The sequence below is a fragment of the Homo sapiens genome, chromosome 3 (genome assembly GCF_000001405.40).
Source record: "Homo sapiens chromosome 3, GRCh38.p14 Primary Assembly".
NCBI classification, from domain to species: domain Eukaryota; kingdom Metazoa; phylum Chordata; class Mammalia; order Primates; family Hominidae; genus Homo; species Homo sapiens.
Window position 1 is genome coordinate 100,548,582 of NC_000003.12, and position 14,922 is coordinate 100,563,503.

At 39.3% G+C, this 14,922-nt stretch overlaps 1 protein-coding gene across 12 annotated transcripts in view, besides 1 other annotated feature; it reads left to right on the forward strand.

Annotated features, from left to right (window-relative positions):
• The window catches only part of TMEM45A (transmembrane protein 45A), an 84,826-nt gene that overhangs the window by 55,963 nt on the left and 13,941 nt on the right, over nucleotides 1-14,922 (forward strand). For 11 of the 12 annotated variants that reach the window (XM_047448425.1, XM_047448427.1, NM_001363876.2 and 8 more), the window contains 3 exons: nucleotides 6,628-6,820; nucleotides 8,179-8,391; nucleotides 9,824-10,008. In XM_047448425.1, the coding sequence (XP_047304381.1) occupies nucleotides 6,628-6,820; nucleotides 8,179-8,391; nucleotides 9,824-10,008 (591 nt within the window). Of the gene's footprint in view, nucleotides 1-5,784; nucleotides 5,875-6,627; nucleotides 6,821-8,178; nucleotides 8,392-9,823; nucleotides 10,009-14,922 lie in introns of those variants that run through there. The other variant, XM_047448424.1, reaches the window with a different exon arrangement.
• Nucleotides 13,045-13,909: an enhancer, noted in NCBI's record as "OCT4-NANOG hESC enhancer chr3:100280470-100281334 (GRCh37/hg19 assembly coordinates)". NCBI's record gives its function as "activates a minimal SCP1, AML or CMV promoter by ChIP-STARR-seq in naive H9 embryonic stem cells {active_cell/tissue: H9 hESC(naive)}" and the evidence as "EXISTENCE:reporter gene assay evidence [ECO:0000049][PMID:30033119]".

The window sequence follows — 14,922 nt, forward strand, 5'->3', positions numbered from 1 at the left end:
AGGCACCTTCTTAGACAAAGTCCTCTCCCCGTCTTACACATGCCAGTCATCTTAACACCTCCATAGAACTTGTAATTAGTTTGTTCCTTAGGGACATATTTTAGCATTTCTGTTTTTTGTGGTTTGTTCAGTCTATCATAAGCTTTCTGTTGTGAGCAGGGGCTGTGTCTATTCTGCAGTGGGTGCCTCAAGCGCCTGAAGTGTCCCTGTACAATGCAAGTGATGATTAGAAGAGCATCCCAAATGCTTTGCGCTGCACTGTTGACCTACAGCAGTTTTCTTTCATCATTTTTCTTATTCCTATAACTTCGGTTTTGGCCATGACTTCAACCCTGTGGCGATCTCTTTCTTGAGGCACTGTGTGTTAGAAAATGGGTTATCTTTGGCCGGGCATGCTGGCTCATGCCTGTAATCCCAGCACTTTGGGAGGCCAAGGTGGGCGGATCACCTGAGGTCAGGAGTTCGAGACCAGCCTGGCCAACATGGTAAAACCCCATGTCTACTAAAAATACAAAAATTAGCTGGTATGGTGGCATGCGCCTGTAATACCAGCTACTCAGGAGGCTGAGGCAGGAGAATCACTTCAACCCGGGAGGTGGAGGTTGCAGTGAGCTGAGATTGCCCCACTGCACTCCAGCCTGGGCAACAGAGTGAGATCCTGTCTCAAAAAAAAACAAAAAAACAAAAAAACAAACAAAAAAACCACCAAAACCAAACAAACAAAAACAACCAAAACGAAAATGGATTATCTTCTTATGCCTTACAGAACACGATCTATTATGTTACTGCTGCTCTAACCATTCCCTTTGTCTTCTGTCTGTCTCCATGGCCTGCAAGAGTGGCAATATCCTTCACTGGCCTTGGTTCTCAGAGCAGGTGGCACATGACTGAGGCTAGTGGCCTGGTAGGTGGGATGGCAAGGTGAGTCACATCCAGAACTGCCCTCTGGCACAATGTTTGGACAGGGAGGCTGGAGGTTCCAAAGGGTGTGTTCTCTGGGTTTAAATGCATTGGAACCTAGTCTGAAGGTTTACCTGCTCATGCTAGAAAGATAGGAGCACATTGGTTTAATCTCAAAGGAGGAAGAGTGGGCAGTTTTAGATTTAGGGCCACTCAGCATCTGCTTTTCCCTCTTGAGTCTAGAGCCATTATAAATCCTTAAGAGTGTGATATTCCCCTTCCTGTGTCCATGTGATCTCATTGTTCAATTCCCACCTATGAGTGAGAATATGCGGTGTTTGGTTTTTTGTTCTTGCGATAGTTTACTGAGAATGATGGTTTCCAGTTTCATCCATGTCCCTACAAAGGACATGAACTCATCATTTTTTATGGCTGCATAGTATTCCATGGTGTATATGTGCCACATTTTCTTAATCCAGTCTATCGTTGTTGGACATTTGGGTTGGTTCCAAGTCTTTGCTATTGTGAATAATGCCACAATAAACACACTCTGGGGACTGTGGTGGGGTGGGGGGAGGGGGGAGGGATAGCATTGGGAGATATACCTAATGCTAGATGACGAGTTAGTGGGTGCAGCGCACCAGCATGGCACATGTATACATATGTAACTAACCTGCACAATGTGCACATGTACCCTAAAACTTAAAGCATAATAAAAAAAAAAAAGAAAAAAAAATAAATCCTTAATAGAAGAGAATTGAGTTGGACTTGACATTGAGGAAAGTGTGAAGGTAAGGATACTTTAAGAAGACTCATTCAAAACCAATGAAATTTGCAGGAGAAAGTGCTGGTACAGAATGATGGAGAATGAAATTTTAAAGCTACATATTTTTGTATCCACATAGTATGTGGATACAATTTGAGTATTAAGACAAACAGAGCAAAGCTGTTCAGATTTGTTTAGTGTATTGGAATTTACAAATGTATTTTGAAGTATGAGTCACTAATGAAGACTTAGGAATACTTCATTTTGGTGGTGGCGCAAGATGAAATTTTAAGTTTTTTCTCATAATGGTATTCATTTTATATTGAATTTAGCTATTCGATTAGAATTCCACCAAGCAAACCATTGCATCTCTTTTTCTGGGTTATTGTGAGTTGTTTTCCCTTTCTGTGTATAGACCTAGTCTGTGGTTTGTGTGGCTGTTAACATCTGGGAATTAACACCTAGCACCTGAGTTAGATCTTGGGCTCTGCCCAATATTATCTCTTAAGGGATAGAGTTTTAAAATGTTTCCCTTCTGCATGGTGAGTGAGTCTGTGTTTACGCCGGGGGGTGTTCAGCAAAAAGTAGGGTAATGGGGATACCAGGAGGGGTTTCTGGTTTTCAGGCCAGAGGGTAATGCTTGGTATCATTAGAAGTGGAGGGCTTCTTTGGATGGGGGAGGAGGAAGAATTTTTAGGATGAATCACACTGGAAACCAATGATGAAATCTTTCAGTCCGTCTTTTTAGGCCTGGGTGAACTGCTTTTTTTTTTTTTTTTTTTTTGAGACGGAGTCTCCCTCTGTCGCCCAGGCTGGAGTGCAGTGGCGGGATCTCGGCTGACTGCAAGCTCCGCCTCCCGGGTTCACGCCATTCTCCTGCCTCAGCCTCCCTAGTAGCTGGGACTACAGGTGCCCACCACCACACCCAGAGACTTTTCTGTATTTTTAGTGGAGACGGGGTTTCGCCGTGTCAGCCAGGATGGTCTCGATCTCCTGACCTCGTGATCCGCCTGTGTTGGCCTCCCAAAGTGCTGGGATTACAGGCTTGAGCCACTGCGCCCGGCCGAACTGCTTTTCTTAGGAGGTTGTAAGTGGTAGGATCAGGTAGGAGGGTACGGAGGAAGGACCTTCATGTTTCCTGCCCTGGCATTTTCCCTGGGGTTGCTGCTGGCTGCTTGCATGTTCTCTTTGGTGGGCGAGGAAAGCCCCGTGGTCTCCTTCAAACGAGAATGTCTGCTTTTGTGTTTAAATCTGATCAAACTCTGTGCTACTTTACTTGGCTTTTACAAGGAGTAAGTTGCACCTGAAGGCAACAGTAAAGCAGGGAACAAGAGATTTACAGATAATTGTTTCTAGGAGATGAGAGTGAAGTAACGTTTGAGGATATGGACAATGTTTTCTTTCACAATGAAAATGAAATAAGATGAATGATGTTTTTATTGCCAGGAGTAACTGTATCTGTTGGGTTCCTTAGCCAGACAAATGTTAACAACCCTTATACTTTGACTTCATTTTGTTTGGATCTTTAAACAGAAAGATTGGAACCATCAGATTGTTTCAGATTAAAAGGCTGAAGACACAGGAGTTGTATAACTGAAGTAGGAAGGAGGACTCCTTTCTTTCCCCACTTTGATCAGCTCATATTCTTCTTCACAAACCCTCCACTATTCCCCATTGCCTCCTTATTACATCCTGATGGATGTGCTGAGATATACTGATCCTCTCAGCTTTGGGGGCAGCAGGAGCCTCTTAGCTTGTCATAGGGGTGGGTCAGGAGGGCTATTTGGCCTAGAGCTGTACATTCAGGGAAGGCCTGGATTTTAAAATTTCATCATATCTATGACATAGGCAATATGTTTGCTTGTATGTTTAAAGTATTTATTAGGTAATTCTAAATATTTAAAAGCAACCAAAATTTTTGTGACTCTGTTTTGGCATTTTCTTTCTTTTTTAATATACTAACAGCCTTAAAAAAAAAGTGGAGAAGGCCCAGGCATTTAACCTCTGAGGTGCCCCCATAGTCAGTTGCACAGGCTTTCATAATATGGTAATGGTCATAGAGGCTATTGAGGAGGACAGACCTTCAATAACTAATCATGCAAAGAAGTCACTAATGTGAGGACTGGGTGCCTTGAAAGGGTGTAATAGGGACCCTCCCCTATTTGGGCCATCAGGAAGGATTTCTCCAAGCAGGTGATCTCCTACCCCTAGAGGGGATCAATGTTAGACAACAGAGGTGATAAATCTCAATTACCAATTGTTTTTTAAGGAAAGAGCCAAACTCTAGGATGATGTTCATATTTTGGGTTTGGGCAAAGGGGTGAATTGGCAGTGTTGTTAACCAAACTAGGTAACCAGGGATTCTTTTAGGATAACTAAAATTATTTTCTGGCAGTAGGTGGGTTGATAAGATGATTAGTTCAGTTTTGGGGTATTTTGAGTGTGAGTGGCCTTTGAGACATCAGAGTAGAGATGTTTTGCAAATATATGATCTTGTGTTATGAGAAGAGCTTAGTAACTCCTTGTAAATTTAGAACCTCATAGTATGTAAGGCAGTGGATAGCCAGTGGGGAATAGAAAGAAGAATGGATATATGGCCTCTGCTTTCAAGGAGTTTATTCTCTAATTGCAGTCAAGGAGTTCAATAACCACAGATTATCCCAGTAACCCTCTAAGACAACAGCAAGAGAAGTGTCTTGGGCACTACATCAATGATTGCCAAATGAATTGTATCAATGTTTCTTGATTTTCTATATCCATCTTAGTATCTAAGTAAAATTGTTCATTTGGTTTTACTTTTGTTTTACTCTGGTAGTTAGAGGTAGGTTGAAGATAGCATGAGCTTATTTAACAGTACTGTGGGTTATTTGCTTTGGAGTAATTCATTTTAAATTTATGATGTAGGTACTGTTATTTGTCCCATTTTACAGAAGAGAAAACTGCGGCACTGAGGGGTTAAGTAACTTGCCCAAAGTTATGTAACTAACAAATTATAAAGTTGGTATTCGGACTTAGATAATCCAAATTCAAAGCCCCTTCCCCTAATTTTTAATCCTATTTTTTTAACTAAATATGTTCCCTATCATTTAAGTTATTTGAAAACCTTATTTTCAGTGGCTGCGTAATTTATTTGACATTCTCCTAGTGCTTGTATTTCCATTTATATTTGCAAGATAAATCCCTGCAAGTGGGCTTCCTGTACTAAGAAATATAAAATGTTTAAGACTTCTTAAACCAAATACAACCCATTTTCAGAAAAGTTCAAAAAATTTGCAGTCTGTATATACTTTTCAATCCCATATAGAAGTTTTCTCGATCCCATATGATTGCCTAAACCAAAACAGAACTCAGCAACACTGTGATAAAGGTGGTGGTTAAGATAATAAATCAAAGACTTTTAGGGCAGGAAAGAACTCCAGGTTTCATCTAGGCTTGCCTCCTTCTTTTATTAATTAAGATCCAAGGCTTAGAAAGGTTAAGAAACATGACGCAAACACACCATTACAGGTATAGTTAGGACAAGGACCTGCACATAGCACTATGTGATATATTGAGTCTGAGACTCTTGGATGGTTTGGACGATTCAATGGTGTCCTGAAATGACTGCCTGGGGTCACCACTGAGATATAAGAGACTTTTAGTGTTTGGGTCAGCTTCCAGGTTTCCCCCTGAGTTTCACAGTTGTATCAGAGGGATGGAAGTAACTCAAAAGGGTCTGTCCTGAACTGAGCAGCCCATTATCACCTAGAGATAAAATAAATCTGCTGGGCCAGGGGAAATCCTGAAATCTCCTTTCATGAGTTTCCTTGGACCTGGCCTAGTGTCAGATCCACAAGGGTGATTCTGGACTCTCTTTTCATTATTCTGTTGATGGTATGATATGTTTCAACAAAGGGCTACTCACGTAATTAAAAACTCACATAATTCTTTTTTTTTTTTTTAATAGCAGGGACCAAAAATGGAGGGTATTACTGTTTATTAACCAGAAGTGACTCCACTATGTGGCAATAATGTAAACAAAGTTTGCAATTTGATTTGGCTTGATATCTGGCTAGGTGGGGCTAAGGTGTTTTAACAGTAAATCTCAAAGTTTCATTGCCTTAGCACAATAAGGGATTGTTTCTTACAAAATCTGAAGCAGGCTGGTTGATCACCTTCTGGGTTGCAGATATGCCACACCAAGGTTGCCCAGGCAAGATAAGAGAGAGGTAAAGGAGTTGTGTAGACTGCTAACTGACCCTGCTTGGAAAGTGACATGTGCTAGTTCAACTTATAGTGTATTAGCCAGAACTAAAAACATGGGCCCAATCTAACTGGAGGGAGAGGCTGGGAAAGAGTGGGGAGCAGCACACAGATATTTGATGAACACTAATTGTTTCTTCCATACACTTGATGCTTGATATTTTGAAATTATCAACCTAAAAGAATGTGTAGGCAATTTCACATCATTTCAAGTTTTAAACATAAAGATAAAACTTTCATATCACTTTCCTTCAGATAGGCCTGAAGGGCCACTGTATGGCGAAGTATATACTGTGGATGTGAAGAAATCCTTTTCATTTCTGTGTTAAAAATAATGGAACTTTTGCTTAATATTTGTGAGATTTGGGCAAGTGGTCTAACCTCTCTAAATGAGGATCCCTAAAGAAAAAGGGGTAACAGTGCTTCATTCATGGGTATGTTGCATAAATTAGGTTGAAGACTGAACATAAAACACTTGACACAGTGCAGAGTACATGGTAAGTATTCAACAAATGTGAGTTTTTATTTTGTTTTTATTGGTATTATGATATTGTACTGGTATTTACTAGTATGCACAGTAATGTAGGATCCTCAGAATCATCCTCAGTGATGTATCCATAATAATCAGAAGACAGTGTACTTTATGGAAACAAGTGATGTTTTGTCCAGATTCTGGCAATGAAATGTCTTTTACTTTCTGTGTGTTCTTATATTTGTAGATCATGGGGAATTTCAGAGGTCATGCCCTCCCTGGAACCTTCTTTTTTATTATTGGTCTTTGGTGGTGTACAAAGAGTATTCTGAAGTATATCTGCAAAAAGCAAAAGCGAACCTGCTATCTTGGTTCCAAAACATTATTCTATCGATTGGAAATTTTGGAGGGAATTACAATAGTTGGCATGGCTTTAACTGGTGAGTGGACCATTCTGTGTTCTATTTTTACCTTTTAGGTGTTTTCATTCTTTTAAAGAATTGGTTGGAGCTTCTGAAATAATTTTATATCAATTGTTCTGATCTCTGAAAGAATAAACCCTATCAAAAACCATTTTGCAAATGATATGAAATTAATCAAGTTATTATGGAAAAGCTTCAGTAATAAATAATTTCTGATAGGCTGTAGAAGACTTTAGCCTTCTGCACTCATCTTTTTTTCTTGGTTCCTAAATTGGAGAAAGAGATTAGGCCAGATGACTTCTAAGGCCTTTCCACTGAATCTTCCATATGAAGATTCAATGAAAATGTTCTGTGTTCTTGAGAGTTCCACTCTAGCCTCTCCATTATAAAAGATAAAATTTCCAGTTTTCCCATTAGATTTCTTCATGCTTTATTCATGGCAACAGGTCTTTGCTATGGCATCAAATTACACAGTAACATTTCCAAAGAGGGAAATTTCCTTGCCAAATTCTATAGATTAACAAATAAGGCAGTATCTGTAGGAAAGTTTAACTGTTTGCATACCAGACTAGATCGTCTGCTGTATCTGTCTGGGCTTTCTTTTTTCCTTTTTTCTTTTGAGATGGAGTCTCGGTCTATTGGCCAGGCTGGAGTGCAGTGGCATTATCTTGGCTCACTGCAACCTCTGCCTCTGGGGTTCAAGCAGTTGTGCCTCAGCTCCCAAGTAGCTAGGATTACAAGCACCTACCACCACACCCGGCTAATTTTTGTATGTTTAGTAGAGATGGGGTTCCACCATGTTGGCCAGGCTGGTTGCGAACTCCTGACCTCCAGTGATCTGCCTGCCTCGGCCTCCCGAAGTGTTGGGATTATAGGTGTGAGCCACTGTGCCCAGTCCTGTCTGGGCTTTCTCAGTTATCATAATTGGAGAAAAGCTGAACTCTTTAGCATTTTTATCTGGTACCAAGCACAATCCCCTATTTTATGGCAGCTACCCAAAGATGTAGTATTTAAGAAGGAAGTAATCTATCTCCATAGGAGTTGTCTCCCAAATTCAAATCTCCAAATAATTCAGGATGTATCTCAGTCATTAGATTGGAATAGGCAGTGGAACTAAGATCATTGGCATTGAAGATCTGAAATAGCTGTTTGATTCAATTGGCTATCTTTGACTAAAACTATTTATTTGAACCAGCATCTGAACCTCCAAAAGAAGCCTAAAGTGCCAGTGCTCAGCTGTTAGGGAACAGCTCAGAGAGAAGAATTAATGTCAAAAGAGGACATTAGATTGGAATAAGCAATGGACTAGTCCTCCTGCATCTTCTTGAATTCTATGTAAAGCAGAGTTGCTAAAACTGTGATATGTTTCTTGGCAGGCATGGCTGGGGAGCAGTTTATTCCTGGAGGGCCCCATCTGATGTTATATGACTATAAACAAGGTCACTGGAATCAACTCCTGGGCTGGCATCATTTCACCATGTATTTCTTCTTTGGGCTGTTGGGTGTGGCAGATATCTTATGTTTCACCATCAGTTCACTTCCTGTGTCCTTAACCAAGTTAATGTTGTCAAATGCCTTATTTGTGGAGGGTAAGTGTTAGTGAGTATTTTCATGTACCTTTCTCTATTAGTGAGCATTTATGTAGCCCTTCATATTAATATACCTCTGGCATCTTGTTGCAGCCTTGATTGATAGGACCATATATCTGGGCCATAATGAAATATTTGGGTGTCCTAGGCAGGGCGCCAAAAATCTACATGCTGTACTGACTCATTTAGTAGAACTGGGTAAACACAATTGTTCAATTGCTATGTTCACATTTCACATCTGTCTCAAAGGACCACTTACAAAGGTTACTCATCTCTGGGTTGTTCTGAAGATTATCATTTTTTTTCACTTTTAACAAACGAAAACTGATCCCAGAATAATAAAGCATGAATACACTAAAATGAGGCAGCCACTCACAGTGGAACAGCTTCCACTATCTACTAACAGGCTTTTTCATATTGATACAGTAATACTCTGCCATTTGATGATAAGTAGGGTCCAAAAAATGCAGTCACATAAAAAATATGGGGTCCTAATTTTGGAAAGTTAATTAAAAACAATATTTTTTGTTCAGCTGGTCTCCCAGTTACTGTAGGGAGGAAAAAAGAAAACAAGCATTTAATGGTTTTTTTTTTTTCATGTATTACACACGTAAAAAATAGATTGATTATGGAAATAGATAACCACAAATTGATCAGGAGGCAGTCACTTCCTACTCACCTTGCCTCTGGCATCCAAAGATGAGAACTTTTGCCCATACCTCGGGAACAAGGGCTGGATAAAAGATGGATGTCAACAACTAATAGCCCGGTTCTCATTATCTCAGGGGGTTACCGTATTTTTGTATCAATCTTTTCTCTTTGTCTTCATGAAAAAGATGAAGCTGGAATCTGTCTACAGGATGAAGAAATGCAGTTATTTACTACTTCTTGGGAGCTTCCAGAGCATGTTGTTATATCTGTCAAAATCCACCCGTATGTGTTTGCTTCCTCCAGTGGACTGAATTCCTTAAGGCGATGCTTTGACTTATTCATCTGTGTGCTCATCTGAATTATTGCACTTGCCATGCTTACTGTTGTTTGTCCTGCTTAGAAGATGCTTTGAAATATTTTCATCTTATGGAGATTCCAACTTCGTCTTAATCCTTTTCATTTAGATAAAGAGGAAAAGATATTCATTCAAAAATACAGTTAACACCCTGAGATAATGAGAATCCATTCATTGAAAATGTCACAATGTGTTAGAGAGAGAATAAAGGTCAGGGAAAGCAAAAAGAGGGTTCAATTTCAAAGATCCTATTCTAATGAGGTGGTGATGTCTCCAAAAATGCAGTACTGTGGGAATCAGTGGGCGCCTGCTCTTTTGGACAAATGTGTGTATGTGTAAAATTCTGTCTACGGAGAGAGGGAGAGAGAGAAACAGTGGGTGGTCCTTGGTTCCACTGAAAAAGACAATCTGTTTTTTCCCCATCAGCCTTTATCTTCTACAACCACACTCATGGCCGGGAAATGCTGGACATCTTTGTGCACCAGCTGCTGGTTTTGGTCGTCTTTCTGACAGGCCTCGTTGCCTTCCTAGAGTTCCTTGTTCGGAACAATGTACTTCTGGAGCTATTGCGGTCAAGTCTCATTCTGCTTCAGGGGAGCTGGTTCTTTCAGGTGAGTTGGGGCCTCTAGTTAATGTACCTGGACTCTTTGCCTGTAACTTCTCTGTTTATTTGATGAGGCAGTTTGCTCCCGGAGACTTCCCTCCAACATACTGCCTGTAGTAAGATCATGGGCCTCTGAGAAGTGATGTTTCTTTGAGTGTCCCAATAGCCCTGATGGGAGAATTGTCAGAGCAGCTGGGAAGTGGTGCGTGCACATCTTCATCACACCTGGACATCCATTATGTAGGAACTCTGAGCCGATGCTTTTAGTTAGAAGCAGCTTCTGACACTAAAGCAGCTTATAGCATAATAAGCTTAAGAAATATATAGAAGGCAGAAAAGAGAGCAAACTGTTATTTATTGAGAAATAACTATGTGTTGGCTACTGTACCAAACTTTTATATATACATTGTTTTATTTTTTCCTTGCAACAGCCTGGAATTCAGGCATTATCATCATCAATTTACAGATAGGAAGACTCAGAGAGACCAAGTCTCATACAATAACAGAGCTAGGATCTAAATTTGGATTCATCTGACCCGAGGCCGCAGGCTTTTTCCATTTTAAGCTGTTAACTCTTTAACCTTGATGAATTGTTGAAAACATGAATTCCAATCAGTAAACACACACTTTATAGAGACTGATGAATCATAATCCAACATGCATACATATCTGTAAACAAAGTCTAGGATGGAAGGTGAATTTTGGTTTAATCAGGGAAGACTTCTTAGAAGAGATTTTTAGTCACCAGAGAACACAGATTTGGGATAATGAGGTTATTTTAGAGATTTGTATTGCACATGAGGAGTGATAAAAAGCATTGGTAGGTGAGGGGGAGAGAAACATCATGGTCAAATGGGATAGAAAAGATGCAATATTTAAGCATGTAAGAAAGCGGAAAGGCTGTTGGAGCAAAGGCTAGTAAAGAGGGGCTAGATCCAAGGGTTATTTTAATGGAAAAACTTCATAGAAAAAAGCTAACAAATACTCTATAATGTGATAAAGCTGATAATTGGTGAATTTAATTATATAAAATATTATATAAAATCTATATCTCTTGCTTGGAATGTTTTACTATATACACGTATTCCTATTCAAAAATAAAAATAGACGGAAAACATTTTAAAAGAGATGACTTCTGGTTAAGATGACTTCTGGTCAAGATGACACAGTTTATCTCCAGTGTATCTTGTGTGCTCCTGACACATAGCAATGACAGATAAAATAAAATAAAATAAAATAAAAACCTAGAAAATTGGAAATAAATTTTCAAAAATAAATTTAAACAATAAAGTAGAAAACACTAACTGCAATGAAGCAAAACAAACAAAAACAGGCCAAAGAAACTTGTGGGCTGGATGTAGAACAGAAATGTAGAGCAAGAGTCGAGCTGAGCCTGCAGGCCCAGAGCAGACGGTGATGGTTGGTTTTTTGGCTCCAGTGGAACTAAAAGAAAGTAAAAGGACTCCTTTCAAGGTGGAGGATGAAACCAGGCTTTTGGGACTCTTTGATTGTGTTTTTTTATATATTCTATATTCCTAATGGTTTTTCATCTGATTGATCTCTCACTTTCTAATAGAAGTCTGTTGAAGTTTTATATTACAGGTCTGGATTTGTCCATTTCTTCTTATGTTCATTTTTTGCTTTGTTGTAAGGCTGTTTTCTGCTTCTCTCTCTCTCTCTTTTTTTTTTTTTGAGTTAGATGCTGATCTCATTTATTTTCAGTCTTTCTTGTTTTAAAATAAATGCATTTAAACAAATACATTTGTCTGCACACTGCTAGAGCTGCCTTCTGTAAGATTTGATGTGTTAGTTTGTAGTTTTTTTGATGTGTTGATGTAGTTTTCACTGTTGGGTAATTTTGAATGTTATTTCCATGTGCTTCTCTCTTTAATTTATGAGTTATTTAGGAGTACACTTTTAAGTTTCCAAAAATATTCTTTTTTTCTTATTATTTATTTCTAATGTAATTGTTTTACGGTCAGGGAATGTATTCTCTTTGTAATGTGTTGAGACTTCCTTTGGAATACGGCCCAGTGTCAGTGGTTGTAAATGATCCATGTAGTCAAAGGAAAGTATATCCTCTGTTTGGTTTAGGAGTCCTCATATATTTACTAGATCAAGTTTGTTAAAAAGCGAAATATTCAAATAAAGAAAGGCAGGACAAGAGGGGAAACCCCAAGAGAGCGGAATTATAAACATAAGAGCAGAATTAATGAAATTAATTAGTGTTCAGTTAATAATGACTAATTAATGTCTAGGATCTGAAGGAGGAAGCTGTGGGTTATACCTCAACTGGGAATAGGTTGGCTTAGTGTTGCCCCTTTTGGCAGATAAATGTTTTCATATTTCCCCCAAAAGCTTTTCTAAGGAAGAGATTAATGTCTTTGGGCATAAATCCGTGATTATTTAGAAAATTTTTCATCTACCAATATGTCTAGACTAGACTGTTTCCTTCTTCCTGGTGGTCAGCCTAAATAATGTCCGCAGCTTTAAAGAAAAATGAACATTTAATACCAGCGCAAACACACACACTGGCAGGAAATGAAGGTTTAGCCATAGTGACATTCCCACTACTGCACCCCTCTGAAACAAAACTGTCTAGAAACTTAGGTGAATATATTATGCTTCCAGTCGGTAAGTGTGGCATATGAATGTTTACAGCAAAACGCTGTCTTAAGCTAACAATATTATGTCGTGACTTGCTTTTCACCATATTACCATATTTTTTTCTCACTACTTCTCCATAAATGGTTAATATGTTAATACTTGTGCATGAACTGTGTATAGAGGGATTAGATAAAACATCCACCTAGACTCTTGGAACCGTAAGTATGGAGATGTGAATTGAAGGAAACCAATACTCAGATTGGCCACTTTTTTATCACACACATATAAATGATTGGGTAATACGTAAATGGAGAGGGAATTTCCCTTCCAACTTATTAGCAATGCTTTCTTTCCTGAACCACATCACAGTCAAAAATGCTTTCTCAATAACCTAGCCACATCATGCAATTTAAAAAAGAAAAAAAAATCCTGCAAGCCCCTTTATACTATGAATCATGTTTTCCCTGTGTCTCTGTGTGGGAGAATATTTCAAAAGCTCCCTTTGCAACTTCTCATTCCCAAGCTCCCTCCAGTCATCCTCACCGCCCAGGTGCAGGGACAATCAGGGAATGAGGAAGGTGCTCCTGCTGTCTTTGCTTCTTGTTTTTTAGGACAGTTGCTTCCACTGCATCTCCCAGCTCCACTAGTCCCCCCAGAGATTCCTCCCATCACTGCACAGATCCTGAGCCCAAACGAAAGCTCAGCCTTTGTTTTGCCTTTATGAAGGACGAAAGTTCATTTTTAAATGACAAAAAGGCCCAACTAAGCAGTAATGGTTTGAGGTCTGATGCGGCAGCAGATCAAACATTTGCTTAGGCTTTTAGTGTTGAAATAAATGATTGGATAATCAGATAACAACAGGAAATTCAGACTTCGTTATAGGAAATTGGCCCCAGGCTTATTGCCTATTAGAGAAGATAATTATTTAAATTTGAAATGTGATACTAATGAAGCTTAAACTAGTCGAAACCAGATGTTCAGGAATGGCATACAAGTTACAGCAAGAAAAACTTTTTTTTTTTGCAGATTGAGGTTTTTTTTTGGAATTTTATATAAGGAAATAAATTAAGACGACAAATAAAAGTGTGGTTTCTGTATTTAAAGGAGGATTTAATGAGTTGTGGCAGTTTCTAGCCTTAGTTTGGGCTTTCAGCTTTCCTAATTTATTCGTGTTTGGCCTAGAATGACTATGGAATGTTTCTATGGCTTTCACTGTAGTCACATCAGTTAACTCTGTTCAGTGGCCTCAGTCAAATCTTTAGCTTTCAGCATTAGGCTCTGGGGCTGCTAAAGAGATTGGCGACGGGAGGGGCTCCAAGTTTCTCTTCTCCTGATGTAAACAGCAAAAAGTTTGGTAGAATTAATGATGCCTAATGGAGGTGACTTGAGATTTTATTTTGGAGGCTTCAAAAAGCAATTATGAATGTGGCATGCAGTGACAAGTCCCTGGGCCTGCAGTTTAGACCAACCTGAATCTGTATGCTAGCTTTACCACACTAACTATATGAATCACCATAGATAATATGTTCTGTGCCATTAGGCTTACTACCCCAACTGTAAAATAGAAATATTAATAATATCTCATGGGGTTATTGGGAAAAATATATGCTATAACTTGACAATGCATGCTGTCCTGGGGAGAGGGCTGCTAATTTCAGAGGAAGGGGAGCAGAGGAAGCTTCCAGAAGAAGGTGAAAGATGGAAGAGAGTCACCAATGTGTCTAGGCTTAAGGTTTAGGGCAAGTGATACCCTTTTGCTTATTTTGAACTCAACTGTTGTATTAGTTTCCTAGGGCTGTAGTAACAGATCCCTACAAATTGGGTGACTTACAAGAGAAATTTATTCTTTTACTCTTCTGGAGACCAGAAATCTGAAATCAAGGTGTTGGCAGGGTTGGTTTTTTCTTGGGGTCCAGAGGGAGAATCTGTCCCATGCTGATCTCCTAGCCAACTGCCAGCCATCCTTGGCATTCCTTGGCTTGTGGCAGCAAGACTTCATTCTCTGCCTTTATTATCACAAGATATTCTTCCTGTATTTCTTTGTTTTCCTATGTCTTCACATGGCCTTCTTATAAGGATGCCAGTCTTTGGGTTTAGAGCCAACTCTAATCCAGTATGACTTCACCTTAACTTGATTACCTCTGCAAATACTCTGTTTCCAAATACAATCACATTCAGAGATACTGGGAGTTAGGATTTCAGCATATTGGCAGACACAATTTAACCCACTACAAATGCTAACTCTTATCTCTGGGAGCTGAAGCAGATCACTTCCCAGATCGCAGGTCATGTGGATGGCATTGGAGGAATGTTG